The sequence below is a fragment of the Homo sapiens genome, chromosome 8, assembly GCF_000001405.40.
Source record: "Homo sapiens chromosome 8, GRCh38.p14 Primary Assembly".
In the NCBI taxonomy this organism is placed as follows: domain Eukaryota; kingdom Metazoa; phylum Chordata; class Mammalia; order Primates; family Hominidae; genus Homo; species Homo sapiens.
Window position 1 is genome coordinate 58391080 of NC_000008.11, and position 12435 is coordinate 58403514.

Genomic DNA, 12435 nt, shown 5'->3' on the forward strand with positions numbered 1-12435 from the left:
AGGTAATGGATGTCCCAATTACCTGATTTGATCACTAAACATTGTATGCTTGTTGTATTGAAACATCACAGGTACCCCATAAATATGTACATCTATCAAGTATCCATTAAACTTAAAAATAAATAAAAATGTTCTTACAAAGGATTTAGTCTAATTCTTCACGGCCTCCATTGATGCAAAACTTTATTTGCACTTTTATATAATTTAAAACTTTAATTACCTTACAACTGTGCAAAAATTGTAATATAGCTGAAAGTCTATTTTTTAATTGAATGTCTTTTCCTTTTCTTGCATTGATAAACGTAATGTTAAAATTTATTAAATGATGTGAATAGATTTCCAACATAAACATTTTCATACCAAGGGTTTCACAATCTAACACATCTCTAATTTTCTAAAAGGAATTTGCCTTTTTAGAGCAGTCATCCTCAAAGTAGTCTGGATGCCCCTAAAAGGCCGCATCATCCCCAAATAGACAGGATGTTTATGATACAGTGTACTGGGTTAAATAGCGTCCCCATTCCCAAATTCAGGTCCACCTGGAACCTCAGAACATGACTTTATTTGTAATATGGATCTTTACTGATGTAATAAGGTAAAGTGTGAGATGAGATCATCTTGGATTAGGGTGGCTCCTGAATCCCATGACTGTCCTTACAGAGTCAGAAAAGGAGAAACCACAGGGACACAAAGAAGGCAATGTGAACACAGGCAGGGACTGCAGTGAAGTGTCTACCGGGGAAGAGGTGCCAAGGATGGCCGGTGACACCTGAAGCTCAGAGAGAGCCATTGAATGACTCACACTCAGGGATGTCAGAGGGGACCAACCCTGCCCACACCTCAGCTTTAGACTTCTGGCCTCCAGAAGCATGTCAATAAGTTTCCCAGTTTGCAGTAATTTGTCATGGCAGCCCTGAAACATTAATACACATGGAGACAAAAATTGGAGGCCAACAGCCTTGTCCTCTTCTTCCCCTGAGGCTTCCCAGGTATTTGAATCTGGAGCTTTGGGCCTCTGAAAGCTCCATGGGCCCAGGCCCACCAGGGAGTTGGAGGCCTGTCTGCAGAAGCCGGTGCCAGGACCACAGAGCTCTCAGCCACACTGCCCTCCTACTCCTCCCCATCTTCTCTGGGCTTGCACCAGGCCCTGCCCTGGTCAGATATCCTCCAAAACGCCCCAGCCTGGAGGCTACAACTTGGGAGCCTCAGTTGCCCCCTGCGCTGAGGAAGCAGGGAACTGTGGGGCCCTGTGACTCTTCTGTGACACTCAGTAGTTACTTAAGGGCATGCGGGCTTGGCTTGTCATGCACAGAGAAAGAGAGGATTCTATTTTTACTTTATTCAGTCTTACACTGATTGAATAATTTTAACCATCACCGTGATTGAATAATTTTAACCATCACCATGTATTTCATAGCTTTAAAAAAACTAGTTTATATGTAATATAAAAAATTAGAAAGATATGTCAAACAGGAGAACATTTTCAAGGGGGAAAAATGTCTCTTTCTTCCGTATTCTCATGTCCCTAGTCCCTGACTTCCCTGGATGTCCCACACCATCTCTGCTCTCCCCTGCCTCCTGGAGCCCTTGGGCTGCTGGCCCTGCCAGAGCAGAGAAGCTAAGCTAGAGGATGTTCTGTACTAGCAGTTTACGGTGTGGAGAAAATGGCAAGGAGTTTTGGCCAGTCTGTCTCTTTCACACAACTAGGCGGCCAATCTTGGCCAACACTCCACCTGCTCTGAGCACGTTTCCAAGTGTGGACGTCGTGAGGATGATGCTACTTATTTTACAATGATGCTGTGAGAATCTGATGGCACGATGCATGCACATGTGCCTGCCACAAAGGGGGAAGTTAGCGTGTGCTTACAGGACAGGCAGGAACTGGAACTCGCAAGGGGAAAGATGTCAGAAAGCAGAAGGTGCTGTCACTTCACCTCTGCTTCTCCCTGGAGGTCTGCTCCCTTTATCTCTCTCTGTCCAGCAGTCCTTCAGGACTCCACGTCTCCATGGCAGAAAATGTCTGCCTCATGGCTTGCATGTTCCAGTTCCAGCTTCTGAGACATTGTCTACCTGACGCATCTGAATCCTAACTCCATATTCCGGGAGAGAGAACCAGACTGGCCAAGCTTGGGTGACAACCAGCAACTCATTGATCTGTATTCAGGAGGCAGGGTCCTATGCATGGCTGCCATGACCTATCTCCTGGTGGGATGCGATCCTTGGAAAGGGGAGATGGTTTATGAACTAGGAGGCACCCCAAAACTGAGCTCTATCACTGTGCTATCTGGTGCATGCCTAATCTGTCTGTTGTTTCCTCAGCTGTTACATAAAAGAAGTGCACTATGATTGCTGAATTTTCTTTCAATTCTAAAAGTCTATGGCCCAGTGATTCAACTAGAGGAATTTTAGGAAGCACAGCTGATCAGCAGAGGCTGAAGTTTGGGAGAATACAGATAATAAGACCTAGCATTCTTTGAATGACACAGTAGCCACTCTATGAATGACAAAGTAGCCATCCTATTCTATCTGTACATAAAATTAATCTCTCCTAAAGAAAATGAAGCCAAAGCACATTTGCTCAAGGATCCAAATAGTCTTAGGAAATAAGTAGATATGTACCCTCGAGGTCTTCCTGTACTTCAGGGGCTGGAGCTTAGCATCTCTTAATCAACCAAATATCCATGATGTCTATTTATGTGTGCTTGGGACTGGGCTAGGGGTAGTGATTCAAAAGGAATATAATGTCTATAATATAAAAATATGTACACAGTATTACTTCTTTAACAGCACTTATATTTCTTAAAACATGCACAAATCAAGCTTTATAAATGTTTATATTATATATAAACACGCTATATAATGTTTTTAATTTATAAGGCCCATAGAAAATATCCTTTTGAAAAGTAAAAGATCCTCCTGAAATGATACATAATTATTTCCTTATTCATCTCTTTTGTTTGTATGAACTTTAGTATTTAAGTATCCTTAAAGTAAAGAACCCTTAGAATATTTTTTTTTGCATGAATTACTTACTACCTCCTGATCTCACTTGGTGATACTCATAGTAACCAGTGATGCTCTTTGAAAATCTAGGACTTGTGACTGGGCCGACAACAAACGGAAATAGCTGTGACTGCCACTTCATAATACATCCACTTACCACTGGCCATATTTAGTTAATTATTTGTCCGCCTAAGGCTGTTACCCCATAGGGAGACCCCTGTGTTTATTTCATTATGCTTTGTATGAAGGCACTCACTGATGCCTCTGCTGATAGCTAGTGAACAATGGGAGCCTGAAACCTAATTGATATCAAATTAATTCATATTACCTGGAAAAAATGAAAGACAAAAACTTAAAAGAAGGAATCAGAAAAAGTTTCTTCCTTTTTTCCTGTACTATCAAAATCAAAGAAATATAGACAGGAATAATGTTGAGGCTGTTTAACCTTGGACCTAGTCTTTTCTCAGCTAAAGTCAGAGTCAAATGCAGCAGGCCCAAGCAAGTCTCATCCAATTTCAAAGGCCAGATATGTCATTATAATTAAGAATCAAATTAAGGCAAGTATCTCATTATTCACTCAAAGATGGCCTGTTTTTTTTTTTTTTAATTTTACAAGACTAATGCTTCACTTCGGCAATGAAGAGTAACCTCTTGGTTTCTATGAAATGTGCATTCAGCTGTAAGGCTCACTTCTCTAGGCAGGGGAGACCTGGTGTAATAGTAGGGACTCGGGGTACAATTTAATTTGTTGCATTCTTGTTGTTCCTATTCACTGCCCTGCCTCTGGCTGGTCCTTACTTCTGAGGACAGTGAGTGGCTGTGTTTGTCTTGGGGCTGAGGAAGAGGAGTGAAGGGTGTAAATTGAGGAGGCCTTGGGAAAATGGAGAAGCAAAAAGTCAGAGGTTCATTACACCTCCAGGGTTTCTACAAAGAGATGAACATGTAAAGAATCATCTGCCTACAATTTTCCGTGAAATCACTTAATAAAATCAACATCCAATTATGCTAGGTGTTTTAAAGATTGCTTTTAATTGTTCTTTCCTAGGCTGTTAGAAAATGAATGAAAACGGCGGCTGAAATTTCACATCAGCAGTCTCTCTCTCTCTCTCTCTGCCAAATTCAACTTTACATTTCTACATAATAGCAGGCACAGTCATATAGTCAATCCTCTATTAATGTATATTTTAGATAATACTGTATTTCTGAGGATTTCATCTTCTAGTGCCCAATAAAGATTAAAGGAACCTGGGGCTGGGACTGAATTCCCAGGTCAAATTACACTGGAAGTCTGTGGGCTGGTGCTCCCTCTGGTGGAAATTTGCCACGTTGCAAATTTCCTTCTTTCTTTTTCTTTTTTTTCTCTTTTTTAAATGCGGGAGCATTTCATAGGCCAAGAAACATCTCGCAAAGCCAAGAACAATCAGGAAGTAATTTCAAAACATCCCTGCCTGGTCAAAAATGCATGTGTTCAATGACACTGAGCTGATTGTATTCACCAGAATTCTCAGAGAATCTGTGAAGAAAAAAATGACTTGATAAAGCTGCAGGAAATGGCTCGTTTATAATAGTTGTTTTTTAAAAAGATTGTTCTACATGGACATGTACAGGGAAACAACACACACTGGGGCCTGTCACAGGGTGGAGGTGGAAGGAGGGAGAGGATCAGGAAAATAACTAACGGATACTAGGCTTAATACCTGGGTACTGAAATAATCTGTACAACAAACCACTATGACACATGTTTACCGCTGTAACAAACCTGCACATCCTGCACATGTGCCCCTGAACTTAAAATAAAAGTTAAAAATAAATAAATACAATGTTACTTCTGGTTGATAAAGGATGGGGAATTTAGATTTGAGAGTTGGGGAGCAAGAAATTTCAACCTCACCCTGGGACAGTATAGCACAGAACAGTAGGAACCACAGAGAAAATATATGTTGAAGAGAGAATATTCTAGTGAAATGCTTTGTGCAGTCTAACATGTTGAGGAGTTCCTGGCATCCTACAAATCTTCAGCAGATATATGTAGGTCCTACCATGGAAAATGGCAGAGGCTTAATTCTATGTCTTGTGTAATTTGAGGGGTTTCAATGTTCTGACCTGTGTTGTCCCTATAAGTGTAAGTTCAACATATGAATCCCTAATCCCAAAGGTGATGGTATTGGGAAGCGGGGCCTTTGGGAGGTAATTATGTTGTGAGGGTAGGGTCCTCATGATGGGATTAATGCCCTTATAAGAAGAGGCACCACCTCTCTCTCTCTGTTTCTGTCTCTCTCTATCTCTATCTCTATCTCTCTATCTCTCTCTTCCTCTCCACCATGTAAGGGCACAGCAAAAAGGCAGCCATCAGCAAGCCAGGAAAAGGACCCTCACCCAACGCAACCATGCTGGCTGGCATCCTAATCTGGGACTTCCAGCCTCCAGAACCCTGAGTAAATCTTGCAGCTGTTAAAGCCACCCAGTGTGTGGTACTTTGCTGTGGCGGCTGACTTAGCCAGGGGCTGAAGAGGGTTAGCTGAAACACAGATCGAAAGGCTGAAAGGACAGGTGAATACAGGAGACCAGTGTTACCATACAAAGCACCATGGTCCTTCATCAAAGGGATTTCAGAATCCAGAAAGCTTAAATATCTCTGGATCTGCACTATGGAAGTCGTTGAGAAAAGGCAAAAGCAATGCCATAGGTCAGTGTTAAGCAATCTTTTTCACAAGAAGGTAACCACAGGAAATGACATGTGTCCAGCTCGCTGACAGAAGTAATGTTCACAGCGTCTGGCCACCCTGTCCTTGGACTGCGTCTTAAGCGCTGAGAGGCGTCAACACGTCAGCACAACCGCGGCCGACTCCAGGCACACCAATGGGAGGTCCTGCAGTAGGTCGGCTGTGCGGGACTGGAGGAGATGGTAGAGATCAGTCAAGAGGAGCAGCAATAAGCCTCTGGGCAGCGGCCGGGTCTCAGGTCTGCGCCTGGCCTTGCTCATCTTCTAAAATCAGCCTGTCTGAGCTCTCCTGTTCTGTACCATCCTGTCATATTGGAATCTAGTCGTCCATTGCCCTCTGCCTGGCTAGTTTCCACAGGGCTTTTAAATTCCCTCAGTGGCTCTATACTTAGATAGTGATGAATAGAAATGCTGCCGTTCTGGTGTCTGTTGCTCTTTCTTTGTTTTTATCCCTGCTCTATCTGGTCATTTTTCTATGTCTGAACACTTCACTAACACAGACAAAGACAGTAACATATTGCACAACTGAGAACGGGGAAGTAAGCAAAAAGGGAAGAAAAATGTCTCTGAACAGCCAAAATAGATATTGCAAAGTCCATGTGTAAGACTGATGTGATGTTTGCATAATTCTGAAGCTCGGAACTGAGAACAATTCTAACTCCTTTTACTGCTATGACAAAAGGAAGACATTAGTGGTGTCAGAGGTGAAAAGAACAGTTTTCTGGGAATCTTTTAGGGATTACTACCCTCAATTTTGTAAGTACGGACTGTCCCCAACTTACTGTGTTTCACTTACAACTTCACAACTTCATAATGCTACTCATACAACCATTCTGTTTTTCACTTTCAGTACAGCATTCAATAAATTCCATGAGATATCCAACAATTTATTGTAAGATAGGCTTTGTGTTAGATAATTTTGCCCAACTGCAGGCTAATATAACTGTTCTGAGCACATTTCAGGTAGGCTGGTCTAAGCTGTGATGTTCAGCAGGCTAAGGGCATTAAATGCATATTTGACTGAAAATATTTTCAGCTGATGATGGGTTTATAGGAACGTAGCCCTGTTGTAAGTCCCGGAGCATCTGTACTTTTTTCTTAGGTGCATTTTCTGGTCGGCCATGTAGTATCCTTGTTACAACTCCAGAGTAAGATGAAGTCCCAGGACCAGTGCTTCAGGACCACTGCAGGAAAAACTTTTAACACTCCCCTGCTCTGAATGTGTGGATGACACTGAAATCATTGTTGGTGCTACTAACTGGCATTTCCCATTCTACTCTTCTCAAGCACATGGGAGGGTTGCACTTCCCTAATTCTGTGATTGTTAGGTACTTATTTCTTTGCTTTGGTCAAAGAAATAAGAATGGAAGTAATGTGTCCCTTCCAGTCAAAAACGTCAAGCCCTGAGCATAATTTGCCAAATTTCACCCCCCTGTGTGATGTCAGATATTGTTCCCGGAGGGTGTAAGTGGTATCAGTCTCCATCTCTGAGTGAAGACAACATGGGACAGAGCCTTCCATCAATGTATCAGCATCCCTGTTGCTTATAAGACACTGAGATTCATGGATTATTTGTTAACATAGTATGCTTTCCTTACTGATACATACACACATGCTCATTGTACATAGAGAACTCCTATATCACTCCTCAAAGGGTGTCTTATCTTCACATGGTCATGCAAACCTAGATTATCTAACATGCAATATTCAGTAAATTAAAAGGCCCTTACTTCTGTAGGTAGATCTACTACATATCTTTAAAGGAAACAGCTGATAGCCAAAATGAATATATATAAACTATAACAGAAGGGAAAGAAATTGTATCAATCAGGTTATTTATCAGAAGCCCACAGACCTACATACCTTAGTGGACTCTGACATTATCCATGACTTTGGTGCACTGGTCTTGAACCACCCAACCCCCCAAATTTCCCCCAGTCAAATTTCTAATGGAAGTGGTTTTACTTTCGTATTCCTTTATGTTAATGATGAAATTTCAGATTCAAGAATATGTAAATGTCTAATCGTGTTTTTGGAGATACTTTTTAAAAGATAATTCTACACATTAGGAGTAGAAAGGGAAGCAAATCAAATGACAGAAAAATAGCAGTCTTTGCATTAATCCTAAAGTGTATGTAATAAACATAAACCTAGAACTTACATATGCACTCTTCTGACATTTTTGAATACGTAGGAGGTGAGGTGCAAGTAAAAGAAGATGATGGCATTTGCTTTGGCATAAAGTCTTTGTGGAGTTTTGAGAAAATATTTTTGTATTTCTGCAGAGTTGAGGCTTTCTGAATAAATTTTCCTGAAAAATTTGGATCCCGAGCATATTAATCCATTCTCATGCTGCTATAAAGAACTGCCCGAGACGGAATAATTTATAAAGAAAAGAGCTTTAATTGACTCAGTTCTGCAGCACTGGGGAGGCCTTAGGAAACTTAAAATAATGGCAGACAGGGAAGGAAACACGTTCTCCTTCACATGGTGGCAGGAAGGAGAAGAATGAGTGCTGAGTGAAGAGGGAAGCCCCTTATAAAACCATCAGATCTCATGAGAACTCACTCACTGTCATGAGAACAGCATGAGCAGCATGAGGGTAACCACCCTGTGATTAAATTACCTCTCACTAGGTTATTCCCATGACACGTGGGGATTATGGGGACTACAATTCAAGGTGAAATTTGGGTGGGAACACAGCCAAACCATATTACTGAGCTAACAGTAAGTCTTGAGAAGTTATTTTATAACTCTATAGTGACAGGACTCCAGAGATTCTCATGGAATGTATTTACATTTCAAGAGAAAGTGAGACTCAAGACCCTGGAGACATCTCTAGGTCATGACAGAGACACCAGGGCTCCTGAGGCCCTTGAGAGATGCCTTTCTAGTCCAAAAGGTTAAAGTGAGAGCCCAGAACCCTTCCATCTCCTCTCCAGGGAACAAACGTTTCTCTCCCTCCTTTCAAGATGGAACCAGGAGGTCCCGTTCATAAGTGAAGAAAATCCATTTTCCCCATCCTTCACCTATGGAGCATCTTGGGCCATCGGACACCTCAGGAGTAAGCACTGGTGTGTGCAGGGGTGGGGGCTGACACAATTATCATAATATAAGAAATAATAACTATTCTGCCTCTGAACCAGAACACTCCATGTATGGGTTCAGGATAAAATTATGAATGGATATGAAAAACCCAACACTCATCCTAGCAAAGCTAAGGCAAAATATACCCAAATGCCATGCAGGGTTACTTGAGTGCTTAAGATCCTGATATGAGTGGCTATAAATGTCCTAAACTCCTTTGGAAAGTCAAATGTTCTTTTCTAGAGTTTGTGAACTGCCTGGGTGGGATGTGGAGACAGAAACGTGAGTTATGTTCTCAGGGTGTCACTTGGCATGGGTTCCAGGCTCTACTGAAATTGTTTTTCTACTCTACATACTACAGCTGTTGCTTTGTCTCCACTTTAACTTTTGCTCACATATGAAACTGAGTCCCTACATTTTTTATGATGTAATTTGGCTGTATTTAACTAGATAAAAATATCTTTGATGGCTGAAATGAAATACAACTGTATTTCTCTTTCACATAAGATTTGAAGCAGAACCATTCTTAGAGGGAAACTTACAGCCTTAAATGCATATAGGAGAAATGTAGAACGGCTGAAAAGTCAGTAAGTTAAGCATCTTTCTTAAGAAGTTAGAAAATACTAAATTAAATGCAAAGAACATAGAAGAAAGAAAAAAGCAAAAATTAATGAAACAAAAAGTAAACAAAAAAATGGAGAGAATAAACAAAGTCAAAAGTTGATTCCTTAAAAAGAAATAATATTTATATAATTCTGGCAAAGCTAATAAAGGGAAAAAGAAAGAAGACAGAATTAACCAAAATTGAGAATGAAAAAGGGATATATCATTATTGTTCTTACAGATAACATAAAGTCATAAGAGGATATTGTACCCATCTTATGAAAATAACACTTTCTAATATCCTAAAGCTGAATCCAATATTGTTGCAGAGGTAATCTCATATTCTAATAATTTTAAGATTTCCTATGTGCTACTTACAATTTTTTTAATGTAAAACTTATAAAAATATGTTTTAACTAATTCAGTTTGGCTTAAAAGCATCTACTATGAGGTCACAAACCATTTTTGCTCATTTGAGTATAAGCAATAAAACAAAATTACTATAGGAACTATTGTTGGAGGTTGTGTTTACAAAAGTTACTCATTCACCCATAAACAACAAAGACCATCTCAATTTCCCTGTTGCCAACCTATAGGTGACTGGCCAGAGTGCTATCTTAAGTATCTCCCAGCCTATAAGGAGCTTAATAATAAAGCTTAAATTATAAATAGAAGAGAATAATATGATGATTAATAGGCAATTTATGGGGATAAAATAATTTCAGTGGATTAAATTCTGATACAAGGAAACAGAATGTAGAGGTTTCATTACTAACCTAGAAAAGCATTTGAGTCGGCCGGGCGCGGTGGCTCACGCCTGTAATCCCAGCACTTTGGGAGGCCCAGGCGGGCGGATCACGAGGTCAGGAGATCGAGACCACGTTGAAACCCCGTCTCTACTAAAAATACAAAAAATTAGCCGGGCGCAGTGGCGGGCACCTGTAGTCCCAGCTACTCGGGAGGCTGAGGCAGGAGAATGGCGTGAACCCGGAAGGCGGAGCTTGCAGTGAGCGGAGATCGCGCCACAGCACTCCCGCCTGGGCGACAGAACGAGACTCCTTCTCAAAAAAAAAAAAAAAAAAAAAAGAAAAGCATTTGAGTCAGGGGTGGATAATAATGCAGACAGGCTTAACTATAAAAACAAGAGATACAATTTGAGATTTAAAGAGAATATTCACAGACCCAAAGATAGAAAATATTTTCCTGCATAATAATTCAGGAGTAAATCTGGCACAGTTCAACTGAAGCCCCGAATCCATGTGTCCCCCTCCATTCTCACTATCACTGATCTTGTTCATGGCCTCATAGCTTTTACCCAGAAGTTACCTCAGAATGTTCCACTGGCATCCACTGACTTTCAGTCACTTACTCCCCTACTCCATCTGACATACCAAGTGCAATTGCTAAAATAAGCAGATAATATTTTCCTTGCATCAAAAATATTTTTCACAATAATGTCTAGAAATAAAGACCAAACTCCTTAGCATTGCATTTATGACCCGTCTTGATCATTCCAAGGCCGTTTTCCACTGCATAGATCCTCCACTGAAGCCGAATCTTTTTACCATTCCCCAAACATGCTCCACACATTCTCCCCTTTGGAACTTTGCTGTTGTCCCCTGTGCCTAGAAGGCCCTTATGTCATCTTTGTCTATTGAAATCTCCCAATCCTTTAATGGTCAGTTCAGATGCCTCCCTCTCTGCTACCCTAATTCTCAATCAGAATTAATTTCTCCCTTTTCATATCTATAATCCTTTTCTTAATAGTACCAAATTTAACTTTAGATTTTTACAAGCATTATTTTTATACATTGAAATTAGGAGTGTGAGAACAAATGCTAGATTATTTAATTTTGAATCTCCCCACAGCACAGCACACAAAACACATTTATTTAGGTAGGTGATTAATAAAGATTGTTGCAGCTAAAATTTAGAAGTTTTCATACTTAAATGAAATTTCACACAGTAAACGTCTAATCAAATAGTACAGCCTGTCCTTCTGACTCAAGTATAAGTGCCCTACATACTCTTTCTGCCCAGGAGACTTGAGAGGAATAATTTCATTTAACCAGAAGGAGCCCATTCCTGCTTAGGCATCACAATTAGTGAACATGCTGCTGGTAAATTTCACCAGAATTTAGGCCTATTAATAACAACCTATATCCTGTGCATCTTGAAGTTGGAAATAGATAACCAAATGGATTTGAGAAAAAAAAGAAATTTATGTTTAAAATGTAAACTTAAATATAGTAAACATTGAAAATAAGCACACCCAACTAATTGCATTTGTATGTGTGTTATTTATTCAGAACATATTATCAAGCCTCTATTATAAGCCAACCATTGGAGATATGAGAGAATTAAACATAATCCTTGCTCTCTGAGAACTTCACAGTGTACAGACACCAGACAACAAAACGTACACTGAAAAAATGTCTCACAAAAACTGTGCGAAGTTCTGTAGTTACATAGGGAAGTTGCCTCAGGAAGGTGGTAAAGATTTGACAAAATATCACATTAGAATTCATGATCATGAAAGATGAATACATGCTTACTGGGTATAAAGAGGACGAGAAAGTTCCATGCAAAGGAAATGGTAATGAAGTGCAAAATGACATGGCATATTTGCAAATCCATCAGTGGCTTAGAACAGCTAAAGCACATGGGAAGGGAATGAGGTAAAGGTGGTAAAACAAAAAGTGTACAGACTAAGAAAAGCTTTATGTTCCATAACAAGGATTTGGCTTTTATTCTCCTCCAGTTGGTGGGGTTATGGTCAGAACAGCAACATGATAGTCTTTGTGCTTTTAAAAAATAGTTCTGAGAGCGATACAGAGGGCAGAATGAAAGCAGAGGCCCCAGCTGGGAGGCAGGGTGACAACCAAGGCAGAAGTCTGAAGATCGTGAACTGTGCCAGTGGAAGCAAGAGTGAAGAGGAGAATACAGATCGAAGAGATATTTTGGAGGAAAAATTGAAGATTTGGTAAACAACAAACTGTAAGGTTAAAGGCAAAAGAGGA

The 12435-nt window shown here is 40.3% G+C and overlaps 4 annotated features.

The window, feature by feature from the left end:
• Positions 452-952: an enhancer, noted in NCBI's record as "H3K27ac hESC enhancer chr8:59304090-59304590 (GRCh37/hg19 assembly coordinates)". NCBI's record gives its function as "activates a minimal SCP1, AML or CMV promoter by ChIP-STARR-seq in primed H9 embryonic stem cells {active_cell/tissue: H9 hESC(primed)}" and the evidence as "EXISTENCE:reporter gene assay evidence [ECO:0000049][PMID:30033119]".
• Positions 953-1453: an enhancer, noted in NCBI's record as "H3K27ac hESC enhancer chr8:59304591-59305091 (GRCh37/hg19 assembly coordinates)". NCBI's record gives its function as "activates a minimal SCP1, AML or CMV promoter by ChIP-STARR-seq in primed H9 embryonic stem cells {active_cell/tissue: H9 hESC(primed)}" and the evidence as "EXISTENCE:reporter gene assay evidence [ECO:0000049][PMID:30033119]".
• Positions 5287-5788: an enhancer, noted in NCBI's record as "H3K4me1 hESC enhancer chr8:59308925-59309426 (GRCh37/hg19 assembly coordinates)". NCBI's record gives its function as "activates a minimal SCP1, AML or CMV promoter by ChIP-STARR-seq in primed H9 embryonic stem cells {active_cell/tissue: H9 hESC(primed)}" and the evidence as "EXISTENCE:reporter gene assay evidence [ECO:0000049][PMID:30033119]".
• Positions 5789-6288: an enhancer, noted in NCBI's record as "H3K4me1 hESC enhancer chr8:59309427-59309926 (GRCh37/hg19 assembly coordinates)". NCBI's record gives its function as "activates a minimal SCP1, AML or CMV promoter by ChIP-STARR-seq in primed H9 embryonic stem cells {active_cell/tissue: H9 hESC(primed)}" and the evidence as "EXISTENCE:reporter gene assay evidence [ECO:0000049][PMID:30033119]".